At 42.3% G+C, this 27,800-nt stretch overlaps 1 long non-coding RNA gene and 1 pseudogene across 1 annotated transcript in view; one reads left to right on the plus strand and one right to left on the minus strand.

Moving 5' to 3' along the window:
• The window catches only part of LOC105379412 (uncharacterized), a 69,678-nt gene extending 46,813 nt beyond the window's left edge, over nt 1-22,865 (plus strand). Inside the window, exons 3-4 of the long non-coding RNA XR_007058273.1 lie at nt 17,218-17,308; nt 22,328-22,865. This is a non-coding gene — a long non-coding RNA (uncharacterized LOC105379412). The remainder of the gene's footprint in view (nt 1-17,217; nt 17,309-22,327) is intronic.
• RNU6-506P (RNA, U6 small nuclear 506, pseudogene) lies at nt 8,059-8,152 on the minus strand (annotated as a pseudogene).
• Nucleotides 22,866-27,800: the final 4,935 nt, after the last annotated feature.

Genomic DNA, 27,800 nt, shown 5'->3' on the forward strand with positions numbered 1-27,800 from the left:
GGTGGTTCACGCCTGTTATCCCAACACTTTGGGAGGCCAAGGCAGGCGGGTCACGACGTCAGGAGATCGAGACCATCCTGGCCAACATGGTGAAACCCTCTCTCTACTAAAAATACAAAAATTAGATGGGCATGGTGGTGCACGCCTGTAGTCCCAGCTACTCAGGAGGCTGAGGCAGGAGAGTCACTTGAACTCAGGAGGTGGAGGTTGCAGTGAGCCGAGATCACGCCACTGCACTCCAGCCTGGCAAGAGAAAGACTCCGTCTCAAAAAAAAAAAAAAAAAAAAAAGAATGCTGACAGATTTATGGGGTGCTGCTGCTGACATTGGAGAGAGATGATGCTCTGTGCTGTGGGGAGGATTTGAGTAACAAAAGTTCTTAAGTAAAAGAAAAGACAAATTAATTTACCTTTCAGATTTTTTTTTTCTCAACAGCATGAATGCAGTAAATTCTTTCACTAAAAAAGCATTGGTTCACAATAGAATAAAAATGTATTTGTCCTGCTTTTACTCATGTTTCAATGTGTGGCTCTGGAGCTATTCATGAATTGGTGTTTTATTTGCAGTAGTTGCAATGGCAGCTGAGAAACATTTTGCAACGAAAAAAATTCATTTTACTCTTATATATGAATATGTGTGAGTTATGTTCATTATCTAATGCTGCATGACAAAATTATCCTGTAACCTAGTGTCTTAAAACATCGATAATCATTTATCATCTCTCACCATTTCTGATCATCAGAAATTCAGGAGTCGTTTGGCTGCAATATTCTGGTTTTAGATGTCTCATGAGGTTGTAGTCAGATGTCAACTAAGTCTATAGTTATCTGAAAGTTTGACTGAGGCTGGAAAATCTACTTCCAAAATGACTCACTGTCATATCTGGCAAGTTGGTGCTGGCTGTTGGCAGGAAGCCTCAGTTCCTCTGCATGTGGGCCTCTCTTCTTGAGCTGCTTGAATGTTCTCATTTCATGCTTGCCAGCTTCCCCCAGAGCAGGCAATCCCAGATTAAGAGAGAAGCTTCAATGAATTCTATTATCTTGATTTGGAAGTCATGCAGCATCTTTTCCACCATATTCTATTGGTCATACAGAACAGCCCTGAATCAGTGTGGCAGTAGACTATACAATGGTATGAATACCAGGAGGCAAGGACAATTGGAAGCCATCTTAGAAGCTGGTGTATTAGTCAGGGTTCTCTGCAGGCACAGAACTAATAGGATAGATGTATATATGAAGGGGAGTTTATTAAGGAGTTATTATTGACTCATGATCACAAGATGAAGTCTCACAATAGGCCACCTGCAAGCTGAGCAGCAAGGAAGTCAGAGTCCCGAAACCTCAAAAGTAAGGAAGCCAACAATGCCGCCTTCAGTCTGCAGCTAAAGGCCCCTGGAAAACCACTGGTGTAAGTCCAAGAGGCCAAAAGCTGAAGAACTTGTAGTCTGATGTTCAAGGGCAGGAAGCATCCAGCGTGGGAGAAAGATGAAGGCAGGAAGCATCCAGCGTGGGAGAAAGATGAAGGCCGGAAGACTCAGCAAGTCAAGTCCTTCCAAATTTTGCCTGCTTTATCCTAGCTGTGCTGGCAGCTGATTAGATGGTGCCCACCCAGATTGAGGGAGGGTCCGCCTCTCCCAGTCCACTGACTCAATGTTAATCTCCTTTGGCAACACCCTTACAGACACACCCAGAAGCAATACTCTGCATCCTTCAATCCAATCAAGTTGACACTCAGTGTTAACCATCGTAGCCAGCTATTGCATAGGTTTAGATACAATATTAACCATGACAACAATTAAAAAAAATCTTTTTAGAGATGAGGTCTTGCTATATTGCCCAGCCTGGAATGCAGTGACTATTCACAAGTGCAATCATAATAATGCACTACAGCCTCAAATTCCTGGCCTCAAGTGATCCTCCGTCTTCAGCCTACCAAGTAGCTGAGACTATAGGTGCACGCCACCATGCCTGGCCTGACATCAATTTTTTATATGGGAAAATAGATATTGAACACAATAATACAAAATATTAGCTGGGCCTAGTGCATGGACCATAGTCTCTGGCACTCTAGAGGCTGAGGTAGGAGGATTGCTTGAGCCCTGGAGTTTGAGGGTGCAATGAGCTATGATTGTGCCACTGCACTCCAGCCTGAGTGACAGATCAAGACTCTGACTCTAAAACAACAACAATAATGATAATAAATAATTGATGATTTGCTCAAATGAACACCAGAAAACAAATATACAAAATATATGAATTATTATTATCTTTATTATATCATTCCTGGGCTCAAGTGATCATCCCGCCTCATCCTCCCAAAGTGCTGTGATTACAGGTGTGAGATTGCCTGTACCCAAATGCACTCAACCTCAAGCTGTATTTGTATATTTAATTTATAATTGTTGATTCAAATGTACTCAAATTTTGTATACTTTGAATGCAGTTACATTTTATTTTGAATCTTTTTTTTTTCTTTTTTTTAGAAACAGGGTCTTGCTCTGTCGCCCAGGGTAGAGTACAGTGGCACGATCTTGGCTCACTGCAACCTCTGCCTCTCGGGTTCAAGTGATTCTCATGCCTCAGCCTCCCGAGTAGCTGGGATTACAGGAGCCCGCCACCATGCCTGGCTTATTTTTGTATTTTTAGTAGAAATGGAGTTTCACCACATTGGCCAGGCTGGTCTCGATCTCCTGACCTCAGGTGATCCACCCGTCTCAGCCTCCCAAAGTGCTGGGATTACAGGCATGAGCCACTGTGCCCAACATTAGTTTTGAATCTTTTAGATCATGGTTATCATTAACATACAAATTTTGTTAAAATCTTGATTATAACAACATAATTGGCTGGGCACAGTGACTCATGCCTGTAATCCTAACACCTTGGAAGGCTGAGGCAGGAGGACTGCTTGAGGCCAGGAGTTCAAGACCTGTCTAGGCAACACAGAGAGACCCCATCTCTATAAAAAATACAAAATATTGGCTGGGCGTGGTGGCTCACGCCTGTAATCCCAGCACTTTGGGAGGCCGAGGCTGGTGGATCACAAGGTCAGGAGTTCGAGACCAGCCTGGCCAACATGGTGAAACCCTGTCTCTACTAAAAATATAAAAAATTAGCCGGGTGTGGTGGCACGTGCCTGTAATCTCAGCTATTCGAGATGCTGAGGCAGGAGAATCGCTTGAACTTGGGAGGTGGAGGTTGCAGTGAGCCAAGATCATGCCACTGCACTCCAGCCTGGGTGACAGAGTGAGATTCCATCTCAAAAAAAAAAAATTACCTGGGTATGTTGGCATTTGACTGTAGTCTCTGCTTCTCAGCAAGCTGAGGCAGGAGGATTGCTTGAGCACAGGAGTTTGAGGCTACAGTCAGTGAGCTATGATTGTGCCACTGCACTCCAGCTTGGGTGACAGAGCAAGACCCTGGCTCTAAATAAAATAATAAAAAATAATTGGTGATTCGCTGAAATGAACCTCATGAAATAAATTCATAAAAATTTATGAATTATTATGGTCTTCATTATATCACTTATTAATAGACTATCCAGACAATAACAATTAGATGGCAAATGTGCAATAATAACTAAATTCAGTCATCTAATAATTTGCCAATTTTGGCCAGGTGCAGTGGCTCACGCCTATAATCCCAGCACTTTGGGAGGCCAAGGCAGGCAGATCACTTGAGGTCAGGGCTTCAAGACCAGCCTGGCCAACATGGAGAAACCCCATCTCTACTAAAAATACAAAATTAGCCTGTAATCCCAGCTACTCGGGAGGCTGAGGCAGAATTGCTTGAACCCGGTAGGCAGAGTTTGCAGTGAGCTGAGATCATGCCATTGCACTCCAGCCTGGGCAACAAGAGCGAAACTCTGTCTCAAAAAAGAAAAAAAAATTTGCCAATTTCTGTTTGTATGAAAAACCACAGCTTTATATACATTTCAGTTTTATTGCTCTGAAGGTATATTTTCCATGGAAAGAGGATAGATTTTATTAAACAGTCTGTTAACTTGGTTTACATTTTACACATATATAGATAAATAGTATGTGGGCATATGTTTGAATTTTTTTTTTTTTTTTTTGAGACGGAATCTCGCTTTCACCCAGGCTGGAGTGCAGTGGCGTGATCTCAGCTCACTGCAACCTCCGCCTCCTGGGTTCAAGTGATTCTCCTGCCTCGGCCTCCCGAGTAGCTGGGACTACAGGCCCCTGCCACCATGCCCGGCTAATTTTTTTTTGTATTTTTAGTAGAGACGAGGTTTCACCATGTTGGTCAGGCTGGTCTCGAACTCCTGACCTCATGATCCACCTGCCTTGGCCTCCCAAAGTGCTGGGATTACAGGCATGAGCCACTGTACCCGGCATATTTGAATTCTTGAGCTGCTTACCTGACTTGCAGCCCTCTTGGGGTAAGGGATGGAGGATTAGAGCCTTTCCTGGTCAGTTTACCATGTGTGAACACTTATGGAGGGACAGGGCTAGGAGAGGAAATAGACCTATTATATGTTTTTGTGGCAAAATAAAATCTGCACCATGGAATTTGCCCAATCACGTATGTCTAAATTGAGGGGGCATAAGCCCCCACAATACCCAAGGAATTCTAGTCTGGCAGGCAGGGCATATCAGCAGGCGTCTCCTGGCAGGAAGATGTTATTCAGAGTTAGGTAAATGGCAGTATTGGGTGGTCTGTCTAGCTCCAATAGGACCCAGATCAATTATATGTGATGAAGACTCAGTCCAACCCCAGGGAAAGAAAAGTGGCAAAACTTAAACATATAATGAATAGCCACATCCAATAAGTTTGTAGTCAGGAAAGATTCTACTTCCTGTAGAGGATCCTGGTGCCTAAAGCAGACACTGCAGTGAAAGTCTAGGGACATACAACCTGTGCAAGCACAGAAGGTTATGAGAAGGATGAAACTTAGAGGGTGGGTACTAGGGTCCCAAAGCTAGCACAGGAATGCGGAAGTAGTGGAAGTACAGGGCTGCCAGTCCAATTAATCTCAGACACCACCTGTGGGTAAAAATAGGTTATTGCTGAGGGCTGTCTCCAGAATTGGGGAGGCAGTGGTTACAGGGCTGGCTCTGGAAAAGCAGACTGTCAAGCTTCAATAGTTGCCTAGGAAGGAGCTATTTTTGAGTAGAAAGTCTTTCAGCACCCATCACACACAGCATCTGAATAACCCACTCACACAAAACCCTAGTTTTTGTTTTTTATTTTTTGAGACAGGGTCTTGCTCTGTTGCCCAGGCTAGAGTGCAGTGGTGCCATCATGGCTCACTGCAGCCTCAAACTCCCAGGCTCAAGAAATCCTTCCACCTTAGCCTACCATGTAGCTGGGACTAACGTTGTGTGCCACCATGTCAGGTTAATTTTTTTATTTTTTGTAGTATAGTGATCTCACTGCATGTCCAGGCTGGACTTGAATTCCTGAGTTCAAGAGATTCTCCCACCTCAGCTACCCAAAGTGCTGGGATTACAAGTGTCAGCCACCACACCTGGCCAAAACATTAGTTTTAAGCAGAAACAAATTCTGGTTTGTGTTTTTAAAATACTTTTTTTTTTTTTAATACTCAGGTTGCTGAATGACAGTATGCTTCAGTGGTACTATTCTAGGAGTTCCATGTATCTTAATGTATTTAATGCTCACAACAACCCCATAAAACAGCTATTATAATCATCCTCATCTTACAAAAGAAGAAGACACTTAAGGCCGGGCGCGGTGGCTCATGCCTGTAATCCCAGCACTTTGGGAGGCTGAGGCGGGAGGATCACAAGGTCAGGACTTCGAGACCAGCCTGGCCAATATGGTGAAAGGCCATGTCTACTAAAAATACAAAAATTAGCCGGACGTGGTGGACGGCGCCTGTAGTCCCAGCTACTCAGGAGGCTGAGGCAGGAGTATTTCTTGAACCCAGGAGGCGGAGGTTGCAGTGAGCCAAGATAGTGCCACTGCACTCCAGCCTGGGCAACAGAGCAAGACTCTATCTCAAAAAAAAAAAAAGACAAAAACAAAAAACCAAAAACAAAAAGAAGAGGCATACCTGCTGAGTAAGGTCCCGTAACTAGCAAGTAATAGAATTAACATTTGAATGTGGGCAAGTTGGTACCATACCTTGAGCTCTTAACTACTATTCTTTTTTCTTTTTTTTTTTTTTTTGAGACAGAGTTTCGCTCTTGTTGCCTAGGCTGGAGTGCAATGGCACAATCTCGGCTCACTGCAACCTCCGCCTCCCAGATTCAAGCAATTCTCCTGCCTCAGCCTACCGAGTAGCTGGGATTACAGGCATGCACCACCACGCCCGGCTAATTTTGTATTTTTAGTAGAGATGGGGTTTCTCCATGTTGGTCAGGCTGGTCTCGATCTCCCGACCTCAGGTGATCTGCCCACCTCAGCCTCCCAAAGTGCTGGGATTACAGGCGTGAGCCAGCGCACCCGGGCTCTTAACCACTATTCTAAATCCCTCTTTAAGGAGAGGCTGGTGGATTCAGCAGTGGGAAGAATCACAGAGAATGATTAATTATGCCTCCCAACAAATTTGCCTTATAAAAAAAAGGCCTCCAATAAACAGAAAGGAAATATCTTTCTTATAAAAACTCCAAGTGTAAAATACCTCTCACTTAGCACTTGAGAATCTGGGATGCTTTCTAACAAACACAATATACAGTACTCTTTTTGTCCTGGCCACTAGGGGGAAGAGTGGAATGTCAAAGAATTTAAATCTCGTCCACAGATTCACGATAGTTGATAACTGGTTTTAGTTCTTTCCCTATACCAGAATATAAAAGTTCTTTTGTATTTTTTGCTTGTGAGAGATCATTTCAGATAAATTTATTAAGCATCCATAAACATTTTTCTCTAGTTTCTTTTTTAGAAATAAATGGATTATGCTGAGGGAAAGAAGGCAGACAAGAAATCTATACTGTATGATTCCATTTATATGAAATGTCCAGAAAAGACAAATCTATAAAGACAAAAAAAAGATTAGTAATTGTCTAGGGTAGAGGCTCAAGAGAACAGGGGTTCACAGTAAATGTGTATGAGGGATCTTACTGAGTGACGAAAATATTCTAAACTGACATGGTGATGGCTACACATGTAAAATAGAATAAATGTACTAAAAATTATTGAATTGTACACTTGAAACAGTGAATTATATATAATATGTAAAATAAGCCTCAACAAAGTTGTTAAAAAACAAGAAATGTGCCGGGCATGGTGGCTCACACCTGTAATCCCAGCACTTTGGGAGGCCGAGGCAGGTGGATCACCTGAGGTCAGGAGTTCGAGACCAGCCTCAACATGGAGAAATCCCGTCTCTACTAAAAATACAAAAAATTAGCTGGGCGTGGTGGCGGGCACCTGTAGTCCCAGCTACTTGGGAGGCTGAGGCAGGAGAATTGCTTGAACCCGGGAGGCAGAGGTTGCAGTGAGCCGAGATTGCACCATTGCACTACAGCCTGGGCAACAAGAGTAAAACTCCGTCTCAAAAATACACAAAAAAACAAGAAACGTATTATTTTTTGAGTCAAACAAAAACCTATTTATTCAAAAAGTTTGAAAATATGTTTAATAGACACATAAAACTGTCTAGAGGGATAACAGTGACTAACTCAGAAATGCTGCTGTGGAGGAAACTGGGAAAATTTTTATACTATATGTCTTTCTACATGATTATTTTGACGATAATGAAAAATTTAAAAATGTAATAAAAACTAATTTTTAATAGATGGGAAGTTAAGATGTGTAAAATGCAATGACATTTATAAGTATTACCTTTGGATGGTAGAATATGGCTTGTATTTTTTGTCTTTCTAGGTTTCTTTCTTTTCCAATTTTATGTATTTTTTTACTTTTAAATTTTTAAATTGACACATAATAATTACATACTTACGGGATACATAGTGATGTTGTGACACATATGTGTATAGCGATCAGATCAGCGTAGTTAGCATTTCATCTCAAACACTTAAGATTTCTTTGTGTTGGAACATTCAATACCCTCCAGCTAGCTACTTGAAACTGTATAATATATAACTATTAACTATAGTCATCCTACAGTGCTACAGGAAAATACGGAAGGCTTCACGAATTTGCATGTCATTCATGCTAATCTTCTCTGTATCATTCCGATTTTAGTGTTTGTGCTGCTGAAGTGAGTACATTTGCCAATTTAAAAATGATTATATATTACTTTTCCAACAAAAACTGAATGGGTTTAATATAAAATAAAAGGCCAGGAAACATCTGAAGGTTTTTGTTTTCTTTTTTGTTTGAAACAGTCTCGCTCTGTCGCCCAGGCTGGAGTGCAGTGGCGCAATCATGGCTCACTGCAGCCTCAACTTCCCAGGCTCAAGCAATCCTCCCACCTTAGCCTCCCCAGCAGCTGGGATTACAGGTGCCCACCACAAAGCCCAGTTAATTTTTGTATTTTTTGTACGGGTTTTCATTATGTTGCCCAGGCTGGTCTCGAACTCTTAGGCTTAAGTGATCTGCCTACCTTGACCTCCCAAAGTATTGGGATTACAGGCATGAGCTACCACACCCAGCCTTGAATTTTTTTTGAGACGGAGTCTTGCCTTGTATCATTTTTATTTATTTTTTGTTTTTTATTTTTGAGACAGAGTGTCTCTCTGTTGCCAGGCTGGAGTGCAGTGGCGCGATCTCGGCTCACTACAACCTCCGACTCCCTGGTTCAAGCGATTCTCCTGCCTCAGCCTCCTGAGTAGCTGGGATTACAGGCGCACGCCACCAGGCCCAGCTAATTTTTTTGTATTTTTAGTAGAGACAGGGTTTCACCATGTTGGCCAGGATGGTCTAGATCTCCTGACCTCGTGATCTGCCTGCCTCGGCCTCCCAAAGTGCTGGGATTACAGGCATGAGCCACCGCGCCTGGCCTGCATCATTTTTAAAAAGTCAACTTTAGCACAATATTTATGGTATTTCATAGATAACAGAACTTTTTTTTGTTTGTTTTTGAGGGGGAGTATTGATCTGTCACCCAGGCTGGAGTGCAGTGGTGAGATCTCAGCTCACTGCAACCTGCACCTCACAGGTTCAAGCGATTCTTGTGCCTCAGCCTCCAGAGTAGCTGGGACTACAGGCATGCACCACCACACATGGCTAATTTTTGTATTTTTAGTAGAAACTGGGTTTCACCATGTTGCCCAGGCTGGTCTCGAATTCCTGAGCTCAAAGGGATCCCCCAGCCTCGGCCTCACAGGTGTGAGCCACCTGCCCATCCAACAATAGGACCTTTTTTTTTTTTTTTTTTAGCTCAAGAAAGACCTGTGGTTTAGACACTTAAACAAAAAGAAGTAACATCTACTGGCCTTTAATCTTGAATGTGGTCTAGTGAAGCTGGAGGGCATTTCTTTCCTTCTTCTTTTTTTTTTTTTCTGAGACAGGATCTCACTCTGTTGCCCAAGCTGGAGTGCAGTGGTCTGATCACAGCTCACTGTAGCCTCAACCTCCCAAGCTCAAGCGATCCTCCCACCTCAGCTTCTGGAGTAGCTGGGACTACAGGTGCGTGCCAACACGCCCAGTTAAGTTTTTGCATTTCTTGTAGAGATGGGGTTTTGCCATATTGCCCAGGCTGGTCTCGAGTTCCTGGGCTCAAGTGATTCACCCACCTGGGCCTCTCAAAGTGCTGGGATTGCAGGCGTGAGCCACTGCACCCAGCCAGGTATTTCTTTTCTCATTTTCATTTGCATCTACAAATTTATATAGGATGGGAGGGAAAAAAATTCATGAGATTAGAAATTGGGATCTTTAAGATTCAAGTTCATCAGCACATATCTGATGACAAATGCGGCCGTAGAGAGCCTGGTAGGAATAAGACAGTTAAAATGATAATGGGGGTGGAGTAGGGGTGAAATACCCAACAGGAAATTTACTATAAGGGCGGAGCTATCTGAATGGATGACCCAGAGCTTTCTGCAGGACCTGAATCATTGAAGGCAGATGTTACCTTGAGGTGCAATGTGTAGTTGAACTAGAAATTTCTCCCTACTTAGATACTATACAACGTCTTGAAGAAAATGTCTGTATTTGAAGAGTTTGAAGTGCTGTACTGAGAAAGCCACTTCTGAGAGTGACACTGGAGCAAGTACCTGGAAGAAACACTGAGCCCCAGCTGCATTGGCAGAGACCTGTTTCAGTTGCCCTAGAAACAAAGAGCAGGGCACCAGTGTTAAGGAAGGAGGGTGCCCGGCACGGTGGCTCACGCCTGTAATCCCAGCACTTTGGGAGGCCGAGGCGGGCGGATCACAAGGTCAGGAGTTTGAGACCATCCTGGCTAACACAGTGAAACCCCGTCTGTACTAAAAATACAAAAAATTAGCCAGGCGTGGTGGCGGGCGCCTGTAGTCTTAGCTACTCCGGAGGCTGAGGCAGGAGGATGGCGTGAACCCGGGAGGCGGAGCTTGCAGTGAGCCGAGATTGGTCCACTGCATTCCAGCCTGGGTGACAGAGCGAGACTCCATCTCAAAAAAAAAAAAAAGTAAGAAAAAAAAGGAAGGAGATTGTCCATGTTCTTGGCATCTTGAACAAAGAACTGGGCAAAGTGCACAAAACACGGACGAAATGAAGGATTTATTGAAAATGAAAGTACACTACACAGTGTGGGAGCAGGCCCGAGCATAGGGGCTCAAGGGCCCCGTTACAGAATTTTTGGGAGTTGAAATACCCTCTACTTGGGGTACATCCTATGTAAATGGAGAGGATGAAATAAAGTTACAAAGTCTTCTACTTGGCCCACGCTCTACGGAGAGGATATTTCCTATCATAGCTGAAGTGTGAATGGGCCTTATGTTCCCTGCCTCCAGATCTTGTTTTCCTGCCTCAACTCCCCACTAAGAGATGTGATCCTCATAAATCTTTATAGGAAGCAGAGGGACCGGCGGTCTTTTTTCTGTAAGTTCTTCATGCTGACTTGGGGCATAGTCCCTACCTATTGGGGATCACAGAACTCTCGCCCTGTTCTGTCTAGTAGAGACAGGGTAGCTTCCTGATGACCAGGGGTGGTGTCTTCACCTGGAACTGGCTGGAACCTTTGTTGCATGATCATCTGGAACTTGATGGTCTCTAGGCAAGAGGAAATGAATTTGGTTAAAAGATTTAATGGGAACCTCAAGGGGTAGATACCCATGCTGTCAAGAATGTTTGTTACAGAGATTTGCAGAAGAAAAGACAAAACCTGATCTGTTCTAGGATTCATGTGTTTCCTTAAAGTCTTAGCACAACCAACTTTATTTTGGTTTGGTCTGTTGGGGCCTAGTGCATGAGCTTAGTCCAAAACGATGGCCTCCCAGAATTTTGTTTAAAAAATTCCTCCTTCTCACCTAAGTGAAGAATGTGACCAAAAGTTAAGGCCTTAGTGCCACTCTCAGTTACCATCATTTTGTGTTTCCGGTCGCAGCATGTCATTTGTAGGTTACAGTGTCCTCATGGTTGCACATTTCTTTCAGCTCCAGTTACTCCAGTTGAAAAGAGACCATATGACATCCTAGAGACAGCTGCATGCAGCATTTAAAACCTTTGAGAGAAAACAGCTCACCAGGGAGACTATTATTATGACTATTGGGAGGATAAAAGCAAGAGTTTGGAGTATGCTCCTTACCCAAGGTCCCCCAAAAACCAAACCTCCTAAAATCAAATAGATCAAAGAATGAGCTAAAGAGTTTACTCACTTAACTAGGCAGTCTCTTTGTTAATCCCCTACCACTGAATTTTTATAATCTTCATTTGATGTATTTCTCCATAGGCCAAAAGTGCCAGCAGCTGCAGATACTTCCTTGTTCAGCCAATTCTACTTTCACAAAAGAATTTAAAGTTTGTTGTGTAACTGTAGCCTTTACAGTAGAGTTTGCTATAGAGCCTATCATGAGGGATACATTTCTTTTTTTTTTCTTTTTTTTTTTTTTTGAGACAGAGTCTCACTCTACTGCCCAGGCTGGAGTGCAGTGGCACAATAATCTTGGCTCACTGCAACCTCTGCCTTCCCAGTTCAAGTGATTCTCCTGCCTCAGCCTCCCAAGTAGCTGGGATTACAGGCACCCACCACCACGCCCGGCTAATTTTTGTATTTTTAGTACAAACGGGGTTTCACCATATTGGTCAGGCTGGTCTTTAAGTCCTGACCTCAGCCTCTCAAAGTGCTGGGATCTGCACTGCCTCGGTCTCGCAAAGTGCTAGGATTACAGGCATGAGCCACCGCACCCGGCCTGAGGGATGTATTTCTAATCGTTGCTTCTTTTACTTTAAACCACAGAAAAAGGACCTAACAAATGATGCCCTTTTAGAAGAGTGAAGGCCTCCTGGCAGTGTTTTCTTTAACCCATGATATGGGTTAAGAGGAATGAATAAATGTTTTATTTTTGACTGATTATGAGGCAACGTATGTATCATTAAAGTTTCTTACCTACATTGGGCCTTCATCTTTTATCTATCAAAGTACAAGGGTATCCATGTATAAGGCTGGCTGCAAACTCCTTCACAATAAAAGTACACCACATTAATGCACATAACAGACCCCTTTTCTACTTCTATTGTTCATAGAGGCATAAGAAAAAATATTCAAAGATAAGAGTTTCATGACAGTAGAAGTCTTAATCTGTGAATTAGGGAAAAACTGTTCATATCAAGGATGCCATCTGCTTCTCGGGAAACATTTCCCTGGTCAGCTTTACCTCAAGGGTTCCAATGGATGCACAGTTCCAAAAGTGTGGAGGGACCCGGGACCCTTCTCAGTTGTGAGACCATAAACCCAAAGCCCAAGGTTCTGAAGTTTTGTTGTAGTGTGGATGACAAGGACAGTCTTTCTCTGATGTTTCCAGAAGATCCAAACCATAAAAAAGCTTTTTTTTCACCTGGTGAAAACACACTGCAGCATAATAGTCTACTGTTATAACATCAGCCCTCTTGCATGGGAAAGCTTTTATAAAACCAGAAAACATACATTGAAAATAACAATTGAATGAAATCCCTTTATAAAATGTTTAAATGGCCCACCAGGTGACCAAATGTACGTGAAACTTTATCTTCCCAGGAATATGGAACCAAGCTTTGGTTATAAAATGTTTTAAACAATTTCAGTATCAGCTGGTTTAATATGAAAATCTGACAGTATTTTCTTGGTATTTAATTAATTTTTGTTCTACTCGGGTTAGTAGCTTTATACAAGGAAATTTGGTTATTTCTGTGGTTTACAATAACAATTTAATAACCATAATTATAATTAATAGCACATACTACTTTAGAAATCCCATATAATTTTGGAACATATATTAGTAATATTCACAAAAATAAAACCTAAAGAAGACTGAACATCATTTTGGCAATCCCATGTACCTAACATGTCAGAAAATCCTGTTTACCTCTTTTCTGAATGTTTTCAGGACCCTCTTATCCATCCAAAAAGTCAGGGATTAGGAAAGACAACTTTGAAACTGAAGTTTGATTTTAGAATTCCAGATTACCAGAAATTATTTATTTTGCCAAAATGACTCAGAAATTTTAAACTAGTAAAAATCTTTTATAACCTTTTACAAAAAAAAAAAGCCACATTCAACTGTTCTTACACATCTTGCAGGTAAAACTGTTTCTTTTTTTTTGAGACGGAGTCTCGCTCTGTTGCCCAGGCTGGAGTGCAGTGGCGCGATCTCGGCTCACTGCAAGCTCCGCCTCCCGGGTCACGCTATTCTCCTGCCTCAGCCTCCTGAGTAGCTGAGACTACAGGCGCCCGCCACCACGCCCGGCTAATTTTTTTGTATTTTTAGTAGAGACGGGGTTTCACCGTGTTAGCCAGGATGGTCTCGATCTCCTGACCTCGTGATCTGCCCGCCTCGGCCTCCCAAAGTGCTGGGATTACAGGCGTGAGCCACCGCGCCCAGCCTGTAAAACTGTTTCTAGTAGTCTTAATTGCATGTTACAGTGGCAACTCTTAGCAATTTTAACTTTAATGTAAAACCTGGTAAGTTATGTTCTGGTAAGATTTGACTATTTTCAGCATAGCTAGGAGCGTGGCCAACTCCACACATCCCCAGGCCTTACCTAGCTGGAAAGCAGGCAAGTTAAACAATTTTCAAAAGCCAAAGAAGCAATTTATGAACTTAAAGCATTTAGCAAACCTAATATTTGAATATAACTTAGACCACATGTTTACATTGTGAAGATATTGTATTTTACCAATAATCTTTAAAACCATCTTTATTTCCCAAAGATTGCTAAAGTCATGTGAACTAAAAGGCATTATACTTTCTAGTTTTCTGACAAAATATTTGATTTAAGCTCTTCTTCTTATTAAACCAATTAATTTAAAACTTTACACAGGAGATAAACAGTGAATTTTACTTTATATTTAACCAGTTTGCACAGAGAGAAAGAGACCAGAGAGAGACTGACTGGTAAGAAATTCTTACCCTTTTGCCGGCATGCCAGGTTTCTGGGTTCTCTCTCCCTGAGCAGCCCAGGAGACCCTGCTTGACCGTATGCAAAGAGACACATTGCTATGAATTAAGAATATTCATAGATAGTTTACAAATTTTGGAGAAACTAAAAAAAGAGTTAAATTCTATTTGTGAGAGTATACTCAACAAACTTAAAATATCAGGAAGCCTAAAATCCAAAACTTTAGTTTAAGGATAGAAAGCTGGTGTGCTCCATTAATTCCTGCAGGCCCGACAAAGGAAGCTTGGGAATTCCAGATAAATGGAACTAATGATGACTTGCTAGAAATGCATAGGAAACAAAATAACTATTCACAGAACCAAAGGAAAGCCTTCTACTAGAAACTAAAAAGCATCATGGTTTTATATATATTGATACACAACCAGTCAGAGGTGAATAAGCAGCAAACGAATAGGCTGGGCGCGGTGGCTCATACCTGTAATCCTAGCACTTTGGGAGGCTGAGGCGGGCGGATCATGAGGTCAGGAGTTTGAGACTAGCCTGGCCAACATAATGAAACCCCATCTCTACTAAAAATACAAAAAAAAAAATTAACTGGGCATGGTGGTGGGCACCTGTAATCCTAGCTACTTGAGAGGCTGAGGCAGGAGAATCGCTTGAACCTGGGAGGCAGAGGTTGCAGTGAGGCAAGATCGCGCCACTGTACTCCAGCCAGGGTGACAGTGCGAGACTCTGTCTCAAAAAAAAAAAAAAAAGAAGAAGTAAAAACAAACAGGAAACCACCCTAAATTTTCCTACTCAATTTACCTTAGTGGTTACGGTGTTACCTAGGGCCCCAAAAAACCCACATAATGAATATTTTGCTCCTGATACACAATTCAATATCCCTATATTCACCAATATTTTATACATTCTGTGCAATCAAAAAATCCACTTTAGGCACATGACCAATAAGTATTCTAGGCACTATCCACACAAACCAGTAAACATAGTGTGAAGCAATGCAAGCATGTATGTGAAATTTGGCTTTACACTAAATCCAGTTTCATGCTTAACTATATTAAAAAAAGAATTGGCGGCCGGGCATGGTTACAGGCTCACGCCTGTAATCCCAGCACTTTGAGAGGCAGAGGCGGGCGAATCACCTGAGGTCAGGAGTTCGAGACCAGCCTGGCTAACATGGTGAAACCTTGTTTCTACTTAAAATACAAAAAATTAGCTGGGCTTGGTAGCGAGTGCCTGTAATCCTAGCTACTCGGGAGGCTGAGGCAGGGGAATCACTTGAACCTGGGAGGCAGAGGTTGCAGTGAGATCACGCCATTGCACTCCAGCTTGGGTAACAAGAGCAGAACTCCGTCTCAAATAAAAGAAAAAAAAATTGCCAAACTGCCAATGCATTTTTTACAATACTTCTTATTTTACTTTAATCAAGACTAAGAGCTTTAACTATGAAAATGTTAAATAGCCAAATGTCTCCAATTTTTTATCAGGTTTTAAAGAATATTTTATTATTTAAACTTTTTCCACATCTTTCTCCCCTACTTAATGGCTTCTTACTACACTGTTTCATAAATAACCTTTGCAAATCTGTAATTTGAACTAACTTTTAGATAACTTCTGAATTAGACAAAATTATTATTTTTCCACTAATAACTGATTCTGGCACATTTTACATACAGAATTACGTGTTAACTAGAATTTTTATCCTTATTAGCCTAAAACTTTAGTGAAACCCTAAAAAGCAAGAAATCCTGAACTATCAGATATGGACATTTACAGATAAGAACAATTCCACAATTTCAGAAACATATTCCTATATTACAACCCTTTCTTAATTGGAAATGACTCATATATTAAATAAGCATTGTTAGAAATATGAAATATGTTAGAAATAGATAATCAGTGCCACAAAGAAAAGTCAGCAGAGAGACAAAAGATCTCTCAGCAAGGCAATCTTTACTTTCTGCAGAAAGGGTACTCAGTCACAGATGGAACAATGGCGAGAGCATACATGAACAAAGGAAAAGCAGGTATATTTATCCCTTATGCATTTGGGTCGACCTTACTGCTGTGCCCTGCATCCATTGACTGGAGCGGGACCTCACACTCAAACTGATACCCGATTTGCTAATAGCTAAAACTTTTCTAAATAGGTAAGTGCAGGGAAGAACAAAGAAGTTGCTTACGAAAGGTTTAAGGAAGCAATAACATTTCCAAATAAGGAAGGGGCATAGGCTGTGAGCTGGAACGTGACTGTGAGCATGTCCAACAGTTACATAAGATAGGGCTTAACAAGAGTTATTAGCACAAAGCAACGATGCTTGAAGAAAGTTAGTCTTTAAAAGAAACTATTATTTCTAACACTTATGATTTATGCTTTAACAAGAAGGGGAACTTTGAAGAGGAAACTTTTTACTTTCCACAAGCATCAAAAATAACTTTAAGATTTTAATTTATGGGCGGGGCACGGTGGCTCACACCTGTAATCCCAGCACTTTGGGAGGCTGAGGCGGGCCGATCACGAGGTCAGGAGATCGAGACCATCCTGGCCAACATGGTGAAACCCAGTCTCTACTAAAAATACAAAAATCAGCCGGGCGTGGTGGTGTGTGCCTATAATCCCAGCTACTTAGGAGGCTGAGACAAGAGAATCGCTTGAACCAGGGAGTTGGAGGTTGCGGTGAGCCGAGAGCATGACACTGCACTCCAGCCTGGTGACAGAGTGAGACTCCATCTCAAAAAAAAGATTTTAATTCACACAAAATGTCTACCTAAAACATTTATCCCATTCACTGTACTTTATTTTTTACTGTTAACAGAGGAGACATGAGACATCAATCAACATATGTAAAATGAACATTGGTTTGGACTCTGAGGTGAGGAGGGAGCTTGGAGGCTTTCAGATCACAGGTAGGTGGGAGGCAAACAGTTGCATTCTCCTGAGTTCCTGATTAGCCCTTCCCAAGGAAGCAATCAGATATACATTTATCTCAGTGAGACTTTGAATAGAGCGGGAGGCAGGCTCGCCCCTAGCAGCTCCCAGCTTGAATTAACACTGACATTTTAAAATACCTAGCAAAGACAAACATAAAATTCAGACAAAATGTATGCTGACAATTCTGAAGGCATTTCTGTTTTTATTCCACCAATAATTTTAAAGCTAGCTTGTTTATTAAAGTTATACTTTATTTATTTATTTATTTATTTATTTATTTATTTATTTATTTATTTATTTTGAGACGGAGTCTTGCTCTGTCACCCAGGCTGGAGTGCAGTGGTGCCATCTCGGCTCACTGCCAGCTCCGCCTCTCGGGTTCACGCCATTCTCCTGCCTCAGCCTCCCCAGCAGCTCGGACACAGTTGCACGCCACCATGCCCAGCTAATTTTTTTTTGTACTTTTAGTAGAGACGGGGTTTCACCGTGTTAGCCAGGATGGTCTCGATCTCTTGACCTCGTGATCCGCCCGCCTCGGCCTCCCAAAGTGCTGGGATTACAGGCATGAACCACCGCGCCCGGCCTAAAGTTATACTTTAAATCATGTGAACTTGAAAATTGCTTAGACCTATTTACTTAATTTATAAGTGCTTTTTTACTTATAAGCCAATTTTGGTAGACACAACATATAACAATAAGTGTACATACAAATAAACACATCTAGACATGCATACACACACATAAATGAAGATCCAGTAGCTTGGAACCTTAGCCATGAGATAGCAATACCAGCTTGCCCCAATAGATAATCCAGTGAAGGCTGTGAACCAAAATTTCAGTTAAAGCAGTTTCCATGGCAGCTTGATTTTTAAAGACCAAACCTTCCCAGACTCCAAAGAGCACTGGGGCCAAACCCTACCAAAGTAGCGTGTCACACATTAACCAGGCTCCCAGCTTAGAACCGCAGCACAAAAGCCTGGATACATGCAATGCCATTCCACTTTCCCTTTAGACAGTAAACTCCAGATTCCAAACAATGTTTGGGCCAGACAGCATTGCAATTGCGAGAGAAAATTCTAAGGAGGATTTAGTACTAGACCTCAGAGCCTCTGCTAAGAGCATCCCCTTTGAGCAGGTTGAGGTCCACAGGACCCACGGAGCATCCTCCTGTGGGGTCCAATCTTAGAGTGTCAGATGTCTCTGACCTTGGGTGGGCACTGGTACCACGTGCAGGTTTTCCCCTCCAAGGCCTACCTCCTAGTATGAGTCTTATAATAGCCATGAACTCTAATGAGAACAGGATGCCAGGTGGGCTTTTTGTCTTTAGCCAGTTGAGTACGTAAGGGAAGAACTTAGCATAAGAAAAGAAAGTTTAAGTCCCCTGAAACACGCGCGAGTTTGCTCTGAGCTGCAGGGATCAGGGATCGCCTAGATCTCCTTCCCCCTTCTGGACAGTGCAATTATAAACAGCCGCTGAAAGACTGAAAAGAAAGAAAGGAAAAAAAAAAAGAAAGAAAAACACCCAGATTCCTTAAGCTAACTGTAAAAAGACCCTGTTCCCCTAAGCGAAACATGAGATGGCAGTTAGGCCATCCTCAACATGGAAACCCTTCAGTTTCACGAACCACGGCCAGAAATCTGCAGCTGTTTCCATGTTTAGACGCCGCCCACCAAGGGTCCCCAGTTGGAAAGGAAAAGAGAGAGCGCGCCCCTGTATGGAGCGGAAAGGAAAGGGAGTAAAATGAATCCCAAACTTTTCGGCTTACCTCTTCTTCCTGTCTGATTCGCCGAAATATTAATGGTGGAGAGTGTCCCGGTTCTTGGCTTCCTGAACAAAGAATTGGACAAAACGCACAAGCAAGGAAAGGAAGGAATGAAGGGTTTTATTGAAAACGAAAGTACGCTCCATGGTGTGGGAGCGGGCCTGAGCATAGAGTCTCAAAGTCCCTGTTGCAGAATATTTGGGAGTTGAAATACCCTCTACTTGGGTACGCCCTATGTAAATGGAGAGGATGAAGTACAGTTACAAAGTCATTTACTTGGCCTTCGCCCTATGGAGAGGATATTTCCTATCATAGCTCAAGTGTGAATCTGCCTTATGTTCCCTGCCTCCAGACCCTATTTTCCTGCCTTACCAGGGCTAATGGAAATGTACCTTAGAATAGAAGAAGACTGTTGAAAACGAAGATTTTAGTCTATTTTGGTGTCTGCTTATAAAAGTGCCTGACATGTAGAAGGCACTCAATAAATACTTGTGGAATGATGAATGAATGAGAGGATGAATGTATGAGTGGGAACCCAGCCAAGCCCTTGACCTGTGGTTTTCTCTGGGTTTCAGCATCCCAGCAGCTCTCCTGGCAGGGAGGCAGAGCCCCCGGGGGCCACAGGGCAGGGCAGGCAAGATCTGGAAGTCAGTGATCAATGAGACTAGAAGGAGTTACCCATAAAAGGAAAACTTTACACTAACTCATCTAGAAAGTCAAGAGTGAGGGTGTTCTGTCACCCCACTGATGACCAGGAGTGATTTCACTGATCCTCCTGCTCCATGTGTGCCAATCTAGAGCCATGACTCCTGTCCAAAAGAGCGACCTTTCCACATACAAATAGAGAGAGTTCTAGACAGACCATATGCTGAGTTTCAGAAACAGAAATAATCACTTTGTGTGGTCCAGAAACACAGCTGTAATCCTGCTTAGAGTTGCTTTTTCTCTTTGTTTGCTTGTGTTGTTTTTTGGGAGACAGGTGTCAGGAAATAGCCTTTATAATAATGACATTAAAAATTTTCTTCTCTTAGGGCCGGATGTGGTGGCTCATGCCTGTAATCCCAGCACTTTGGGAGGCCAGGGTGGGCAGATCACGAGGTCAGGTGCTCGAGACCGGCCTGGCCAACATAGTGAAACCCCATCTCTACTAAAAGTAACAACAATTAGCATGGTGACATGTGCCTGTAATCCCAGCTACTTGGGAGGCTGAGGCAGGAGAATCACTTGAACCCGGGAGGTGGAGGTAGCAGTGAGCCGAGATCGCGCCACTGCACTCCAGCCTGGCGACAGAGAGAGACTCTATCTCAAAAAAAAAAAAAAGGCAACTTTCCATGATTGAAAAGTAGTACAATGTAATCCAGATGGGTTAGCTGAGACTAAGAGCAGTCAATAAAATACTTTATTAATGGCATAAGAGTTGCCTCCAGGTACTGGTGTTCTGATTACATAATATCTACATTTAAAAAAAAATCTAGTTCATGTGAAAGCATGGACATGCTTTAGGCATTAGGCAGCAGTAACTGTAATAGGACCAATAAGGCAATGTACCAGTCCAAACATGTCCATACGCTGTGATTCATTGTTGTTATGTTCAAAAGGGTTAGAGCTCTAGATAGCACTGAAACTCAACCAGCAGAAACTCTCCAGTAACCAGAAACTCTAATTTTTTGTTTGTTTTTTTAGATATGGGTCTCACTGTCACCCAGGCTAGAGTGCAGTGACTCACTGCAGCCTCAAATTCTAGGCAATCCTCCAGGCAATACGAGCTTGCCCCAATAGATAATCCAATGAAGGCTGTGAACCAAAATTTCAGTTAAAGCAGTTTCCATGGCAGTTCCATGGCTTCTCAAATTGCTGGGATTACAGGTCTGAGCCACTGTGCTCAGCCATGAAACTCCAATTAAAATAGTAGGCAGGGCGCAGTGGCACATGCTTGTAATCCTAACACCTTGGGAGGCCAAGGCAGGAGGATTGTTTGGGCCCGGGAGTTCAAGACCGGCCTTTCAAACATCGCAAGACCCTGTCTCTACAAAAATTAAAATTAGCTGGGTGAGGTGGCACTCACCTTCAGTCTTGTGAGGCTAAGGGTAGGAGGATCGCTTGAGCACAGGAGAGCGAGGCTGCAGTGAGCTGTGATTGCGCCACAGCACTCAGCCTGGGCGACAGAGTGAGGCTTTGTCTCAAATAAAATAAAATAAAATAATTGTAGTAGTGTCCACAAGAATCACCTGCAGACCCCGAAGATCTTAGACTTCGAATATTCACCCTGACTGCTCCCTTTACCTAGAATCCCACTTATCTTAGATCAGTCTAAGTCCCCACCTCTCCATTTGGCTACCCCTGCTTATCCTTCAAAACTCAGGTAAGATTTTCTCCTTAGCCAGGAGCCCTCTTTGAGCATAATTCACTTCCCCACTTCTCCTATAAGCCCCCATAGCATCTTTCAAATTTCTGTGTAGTTAACACATTACATGGCATATTTTGTTTGTCTTTCCCTCTGCCCAGAAGGTAAGCTTCTCAGTCTATTCATGCACCTAGTAAAATGCAATTACTATAGTAGGCAGCTCAACAAATATACACTAAGAAATGTTATTCAGAGTCTTGAAAAGTAGTGAATTGGCCGGCTGTGATGGCTTATGCCTGTAACTCCAGCACTTTGGGAGGCTGAGGCGGGCGGATCACCTGAGGTCAGGAGTTCGAAACCAGCCTGACCAATATGGTGAAACTCCGTCTCTACTAAAAATACAAAATTAGCTGGGTGTGGTGGCAGGCGCCTGTAATCCCAGCTACTCGGGAGGCTGAGGCAGGAGAATCACTTGAACCCAGGAGGCGGAGGTTGCAGTGAGCCGAGATCGCGCCATTGCACTCCAGCCTGAGCAACAAGAGCGAAACTCCATCTCAAAAAGAAAAGAAAAGTAGTGAATTAATTTGATCAAATAAAAGTAGCTTAGATAGCTCTATCTGCAATAAGCTTTGATGCTACAAAATTTTCCAGTGATCTTTAAGAGGAAAAAACTGAGAAGCAGTGTTCACTTTTCTTTCAGTTTCTTCTTTCCAGGAGGATACTAAGAAGTAATGATGCCTCTTTTTTTATGCTTAGAAAAATCTCAGATGAGGACAATCATCTTTATTTCTATTTTCAGCACGGGTTCTTGCTGTGTGGCTGTGAAAATGACTGACAGAAATTATAACCAGGTACCGACTGCTCTGTACTTTTTCTTTCTCTTCCAGGTTCGGGATGGCACGTTCCTAATTCCCTCTTGACCACAAAATGTGAGGATCTAGCCTCAAATCTGCAACGCTTGCGTCTAAGAAAAAAATTGTTTTTAAATTTCCATTTAACAGAAATACAGATGCAGAGCCATATAATCATCGGTCTTTGATCACTCAGCAAATCACAGAACAAGGAACAAATCCTAGAGGGGATGACAGGCCAGTTTTTGACCCTATAGCCCAGCAACCTCAACACAGAACCGGAACCTTTCCCACATTAATCGCAAGGCAAGCAAGTGACAGATTTTTACTTTTTAGTTCAATCTTTTTAAATCAATTATAAAAGATGACAAATATACACCTCTCTTGGGATACTTTAGATAGGGCCTTATATAAGTATTATATGTCCTAAAATCAGGCAGATCTTTCTTTATCCCCGTCACATATTTTACATTTCTGAAAGTAAAACAGGAAATTACTTCAAGAAAATGCCTGGAAGAAAAGCAAATATTTTCAAACTATTCAGAAGAATGGAATTTTTCAAAAATTAAAAGTTGCCAAAGGGAGCCAGGCATGGTGGGTCACACCTGGAACCTCAGTGCTTTGAGAGGCAGAGACAGGATGATCACTTGAGGCCAGCAGTTTGAGACCAGCCTGGGTAACATAGTGAGACCCTATCTCTATAAAAAATTAAAAAATTAGCTGGGCCTGGTGGTGCATGTCTGCAGTCGTAGCCACTCCAAAGTCTGAGGTGGGAGGATCACTTGAGCCCAGCAGTTTGAGGCTGAAGTGAGCTATAATCACGCCACTGCACTCCAGCCTGGGCAAGAGAGCAAGATCATCTCTTAAAAAAAGGGAAAATAAAATAAAATAAACTTGCCAAAGGGGAAAAAAAGCAAGTAATGTCTAATTATTTAAAGCCCAAAGAGAGAAAAAACAGCTGTTATTCCACTATTATGCTATCATATTTGGCTGCCCCTTTCACTGGGTTATTACTATTGGTATCTGGGAATATACCCGGCCCTTCTCTGATCTCCTGTGTCCCAACAGTCCAAAGGAGGGGGATAGCCAGCTGCTTCTCCTTGTCTCATTGTCTGGCCATGGGGAATGCTTTGGCTGTCACTTGCAGCTCCTCTTCTGAGTCTGTAGCGACTGGGGAAGTGCCTAGCTGGTTTTATCTTTTCTAGATGCAGAGGATGCAACAGGGAACCAGAAACGCCTTCCTGAAAATGTCATTTGTTTGTATTTTCTGGGTCTCTTACAGAATCTCTGGGACTCATGCAGAGGCAGAAAAGGATACTCTCTATCTCCCTATGACTTTTATTAAATCCTAAGATTTTAAAATGTAGTAACTGGGACTCATTCTGATCTTAGTTGAATGAATTCTCATTACTGTGTTTCTTTTCCATGTTAAAGAAATATAATATTTGTGCTTCCTTAAAACTAAAATTACAACTGAAATCAGCATAGTGAGTGGTTCACTTAGAGTGGAAGGTTTAAAGCAATAGAGGAGTTTATATTTAATAAAATTACTCATGTGGCCCGGCGCAGTGGCTCATGCCTGTAATCCCAGCACTTTGGGAGGCCGAAGCAGGTGGATCACCTGAGGTCAGGAGTTCGAGACCAGCCTGGGCAACATGGTGAAACCCTGTGTCTCTACTAAAAATACAAAAAAATTAGCCGGGCCTAGTGGCAGGCGCCTGTAATCCCAGCTACTCAGGAGGCTGAGGCAGGAGAATCACTTGAACCCAGGAGGCAGAGGTTGCAGTGAGCTGAGATTGCGCCATTGCACTCCAGCCTGGGCGACAGAGCAAGACTCCTTCTCCAAAAAAAAAAAAAAAAAAAAAAATTACTCACAAATCTATAATTGCCTCCTCCTTCTACTTGGTTTTACATTTTCCTATATCCTGTGATTTATTGCAAGTTACTACCAATACCTTTTGAAGTCCATATGGGTAAATATTGTAAGTAAATAACTAATATATAACATTTTCTTTTTTTTTTTTTAGAGATAGGGTCTCTCTCTGTCACCCAGGCTGGAGTACAGTGGTGTGATTACAGCTTATGGCAGATTCAACCTCCTGGGCTCAAGCAATCTTCCTGCCTTAGGCTCCCAAGTAGCTGAGACCACAGGCACATTCCACCATGCCTGACTAATTTTTTTTTTTTTTTTTTTTGTAGAAACAGGATCTCACTATGTTGCCCAGGCTGGTCTCAAGCTCATGGGCTAAGTGATCCTCTTGCTTCAGCCTCCCAAAGTGCTGGGATTACATGCATGAGCCACCATGCCTGGCCTAAAACATTTTCTTAATCATCACTGTGTGCTTATGTGTTCTGGCACTGTTCTGTATGCTATGGAGAAAGGCTAATAAGATATTTTGGGTCCTTTATTTATTTATTTATTTGTTTATTTTTTATGCTGAACCCAATTGTTCGGAATATTTTGTGTCCTTATGTAGATTGTAACCCAGAGACTCAGATAAGGAGTGATACCTTATTTATACTATTTATCCACAAGTCAGGCATTACGTTTGAAATGTTTTTCTAGTAGTACTAATGAGCTTGTGCTGCACCAACCACTTACTCCTTAGTGGCTTCTTCTTTGACTCATGCATACATTTTATAGAAGTCTTAGAGTAGGGACTGTGGGTTTTGTTCCTGAAACAAAACAGAGATAACTAGAACACACCGGTTTCTAATTCCCAAGCCTGGCCTGATTTCTATCATCCTCTAACCTGCTAATCACATCTCCACGAAGAAGGGAGCCAAGTGCAGAGAGGAACATGTTTCCCAGTTTTAATTGCAACAATTTATGTAACAGCATGTGACACCAAGCTCTAATAAACTGGCAAAGATCAAATCAACAAATACATAGCATGATATATGATGATAAATGATAAATATATAATGCAAGTTTATTTTATTTCTCTTGGGATAATGCTGAAAGGAAGAACAGAGATAATTAAAGGGAGAAAGTAATTTGTTTGCAAATATTAGGAACATCTTCTGAAAAGGCCAAGAGGCAGAAAGGAAATGGAGACTGTGGAAATGATTTATGAAAAATAAGGAAACAAAAGTACCTGATGGACTTATAGACTGTAAATCAGCAAAGACACGATTGGTAATGAAGGCCATTAAGACAGAACTAACTGGTGGAAAGTGCTGGAGCCTGCAGTCAATATCTTTAACTTTATTTAGAAGGGTGCTATAGAATTTTTGAGGCCTAATAGACCATAGAAGTGGCATTTGAGAGAAGGATTTTAAGATCCTTAAGAAAATAAACCATTTAGAATCAGCCAGATTGATAAGTAAGTGTAATCTTCTGTTTATGGCAGAAGAGCTATGAGAAGTTCAGAGAAGAAAAACAACAATATAATTTAGTTATTAACTATAGGGGCAGGGGGCAGAAAATAAGACTCAGCATTCCTAAAAGATGAATTTCATGATCTGCCTTACTCTTTGGTAGGATTTATAGGCATTGCAGCATTACAGTTTTTACATCATAGGCAGTGTCTGCCTTCACGGCGAACATGGGTTTCCAAGTCTCCTAGCAGCTATTTAGCCTCAGAATAGGTCCGTTAATAACAGCACAAATTCTTTCTTCCATCCATTCTCACAGGTACAGTGGTAATCTCAACTTTTTAGAGTCGGAAGGAAACTCCGAAGACATTCTAGTTCAACTTTCTCATTTTACAGGTTAGAGAGGATATATGATTTGTTCAAGGCCATACAGTTAGTTTAGTGCTGAAGGAGAGTAAAACCCAGGCTTACAAGTTCTCAATAGTGTTGCCAAATGTATTTGTTTCTATTTCAAATATGCCAAATGTATGTTTATTCTATTTTGAAAGGACCAGTTAGCCAAATATTATTCTAGTTTTTGAAAAAATGATAAAGTGCCATGTTAAACAGAAAACTGTGAAGTCATACCACTTTTTTTTTAATTAAAAAAAATAGAGGTCGGGCATGGTGGCTTATGCCTGTAATCCCAGCACTTTGGGAGCCCGAGGTGGGTGAATCACTTGAAGTCAGGAGTTTGTGACCATTCTGGCCAACATGGTGAAACCCCGTCTCTACTAAAAAATACAAAAATTAGCTGGGCATGATGGTGGGCACCTGTGATCCCAGCTACTTGGGAGGCTAAGGCAGGAGAATCACTTGAACCTGGGGGACGGAGGTTGCAGTGAGCCGAGGTCACACTACTGCACTCCAGCCTGGGCAAGAGAGTGGGACTTGCCTCAGAATAAAAAAAAAAAGAGAGACGGGTCTCATTCTGTCGTCCAGGCTGCTCTTGAACTCCTGGGCTCAGGCTATCCACCTGCCTCGGCCTCCCAAAGTGCTGGGATTACAGGCGTGAGCCACTGCACTCCTGCCTTTTTCTTTTCTTTTCTTTCTTTTTCATGTTTTTTTTCTGAGACAGAGTCTCACTCCCTTGCCTAGGATGGAGTGCAGTGGCATGATTACAGTCATGAGCCATCATCCCCAGCTTTATCTCACATTTTTTTTTTTTTTTTGAGACAAAGTTTCACTCTCGTCGCCCAGGCTGGAGTGCAATGGCGTGTTCTCGGCTCACTCAACCTCCGCCTCTTGGATTCAAGCAATTCTCCTGCCTCAGCCTGCTGAGTAGCTGGGATTACAGGCACCTGCCACCATGCCCAGCTAATTTTGTATTTTTAGTAGAGACTGGGTTTCACCATGTTGGCCAGGCTGGTCTCAAACTCCTGACCTCAGGTGATCTGCCTGCCTTGGCATCCCAAAGTGCTGGGATTACAGGCATCAGCCACCGCGCCTGGCCTATCTTACTTTTATCTAACATTTTTATTTCAAAATATTTCAGACATACAGAAAAAGATATAGTATAATAAATACACATGTACATACCACCTTGCTTGAAAGTATCCTAACATTTTGCCATTTTTTTGCTTCACATCCTTCAAAACAAATAATACAATAAAAATACAGGTAAAGTTTCCTGTATTCCTCCCCATCTCATTCCCCTCTCTCCCTTCCTCCTCAGAGGTAACTGCTATCCTAAAATACATATCATCTCCCTTCATTTTTTTTTTTTTTTTTTTTTTCTGAGTCGGAGTCTTGCTCTGTCGCCCAGGCTGGAGTGCAGTGACACGATCTCGGCTCAATGCAAGCTCCGCCTCCCAGGTTCACACCATTCTCCTGCCTCAGCGTCCTGAGTAGCTGGGACTACAGGCGCCCGCCACCATGCCTGGCTAATTTTTTGTATTTTTAGTAGAGACGGGGTTTCACCGTGTTAGCCAGGATGGTCTCGATCTCCTGACCTTGTGATCCACCCGCCTCAGCCTCCTAAAGTGCTGGGATTACAGGCATGAGCCACCACGCCCAGCCCTCGCTTCATATTTTTATACTTTTATAATACATATAGGTATCTACAAACAACAGATAACATTTTTCTTATTTTTAAGTATATAGCATCATACTCTACATATCCTTTTACAATTTGTTTTTTCCATTCAACGTT

Source organism: Homo sapiens, chromosome 4 (assembly GCF_000001405.40).
Source record: "Homo sapiens chromosome 4, GRCh38.p14 Primary Assembly".
Classification (NCBI taxonomy): Eukaryota; Metazoa; Chordata; class Mammalia; order Primates; family Hominidae; genus Homo; species Homo sapiens.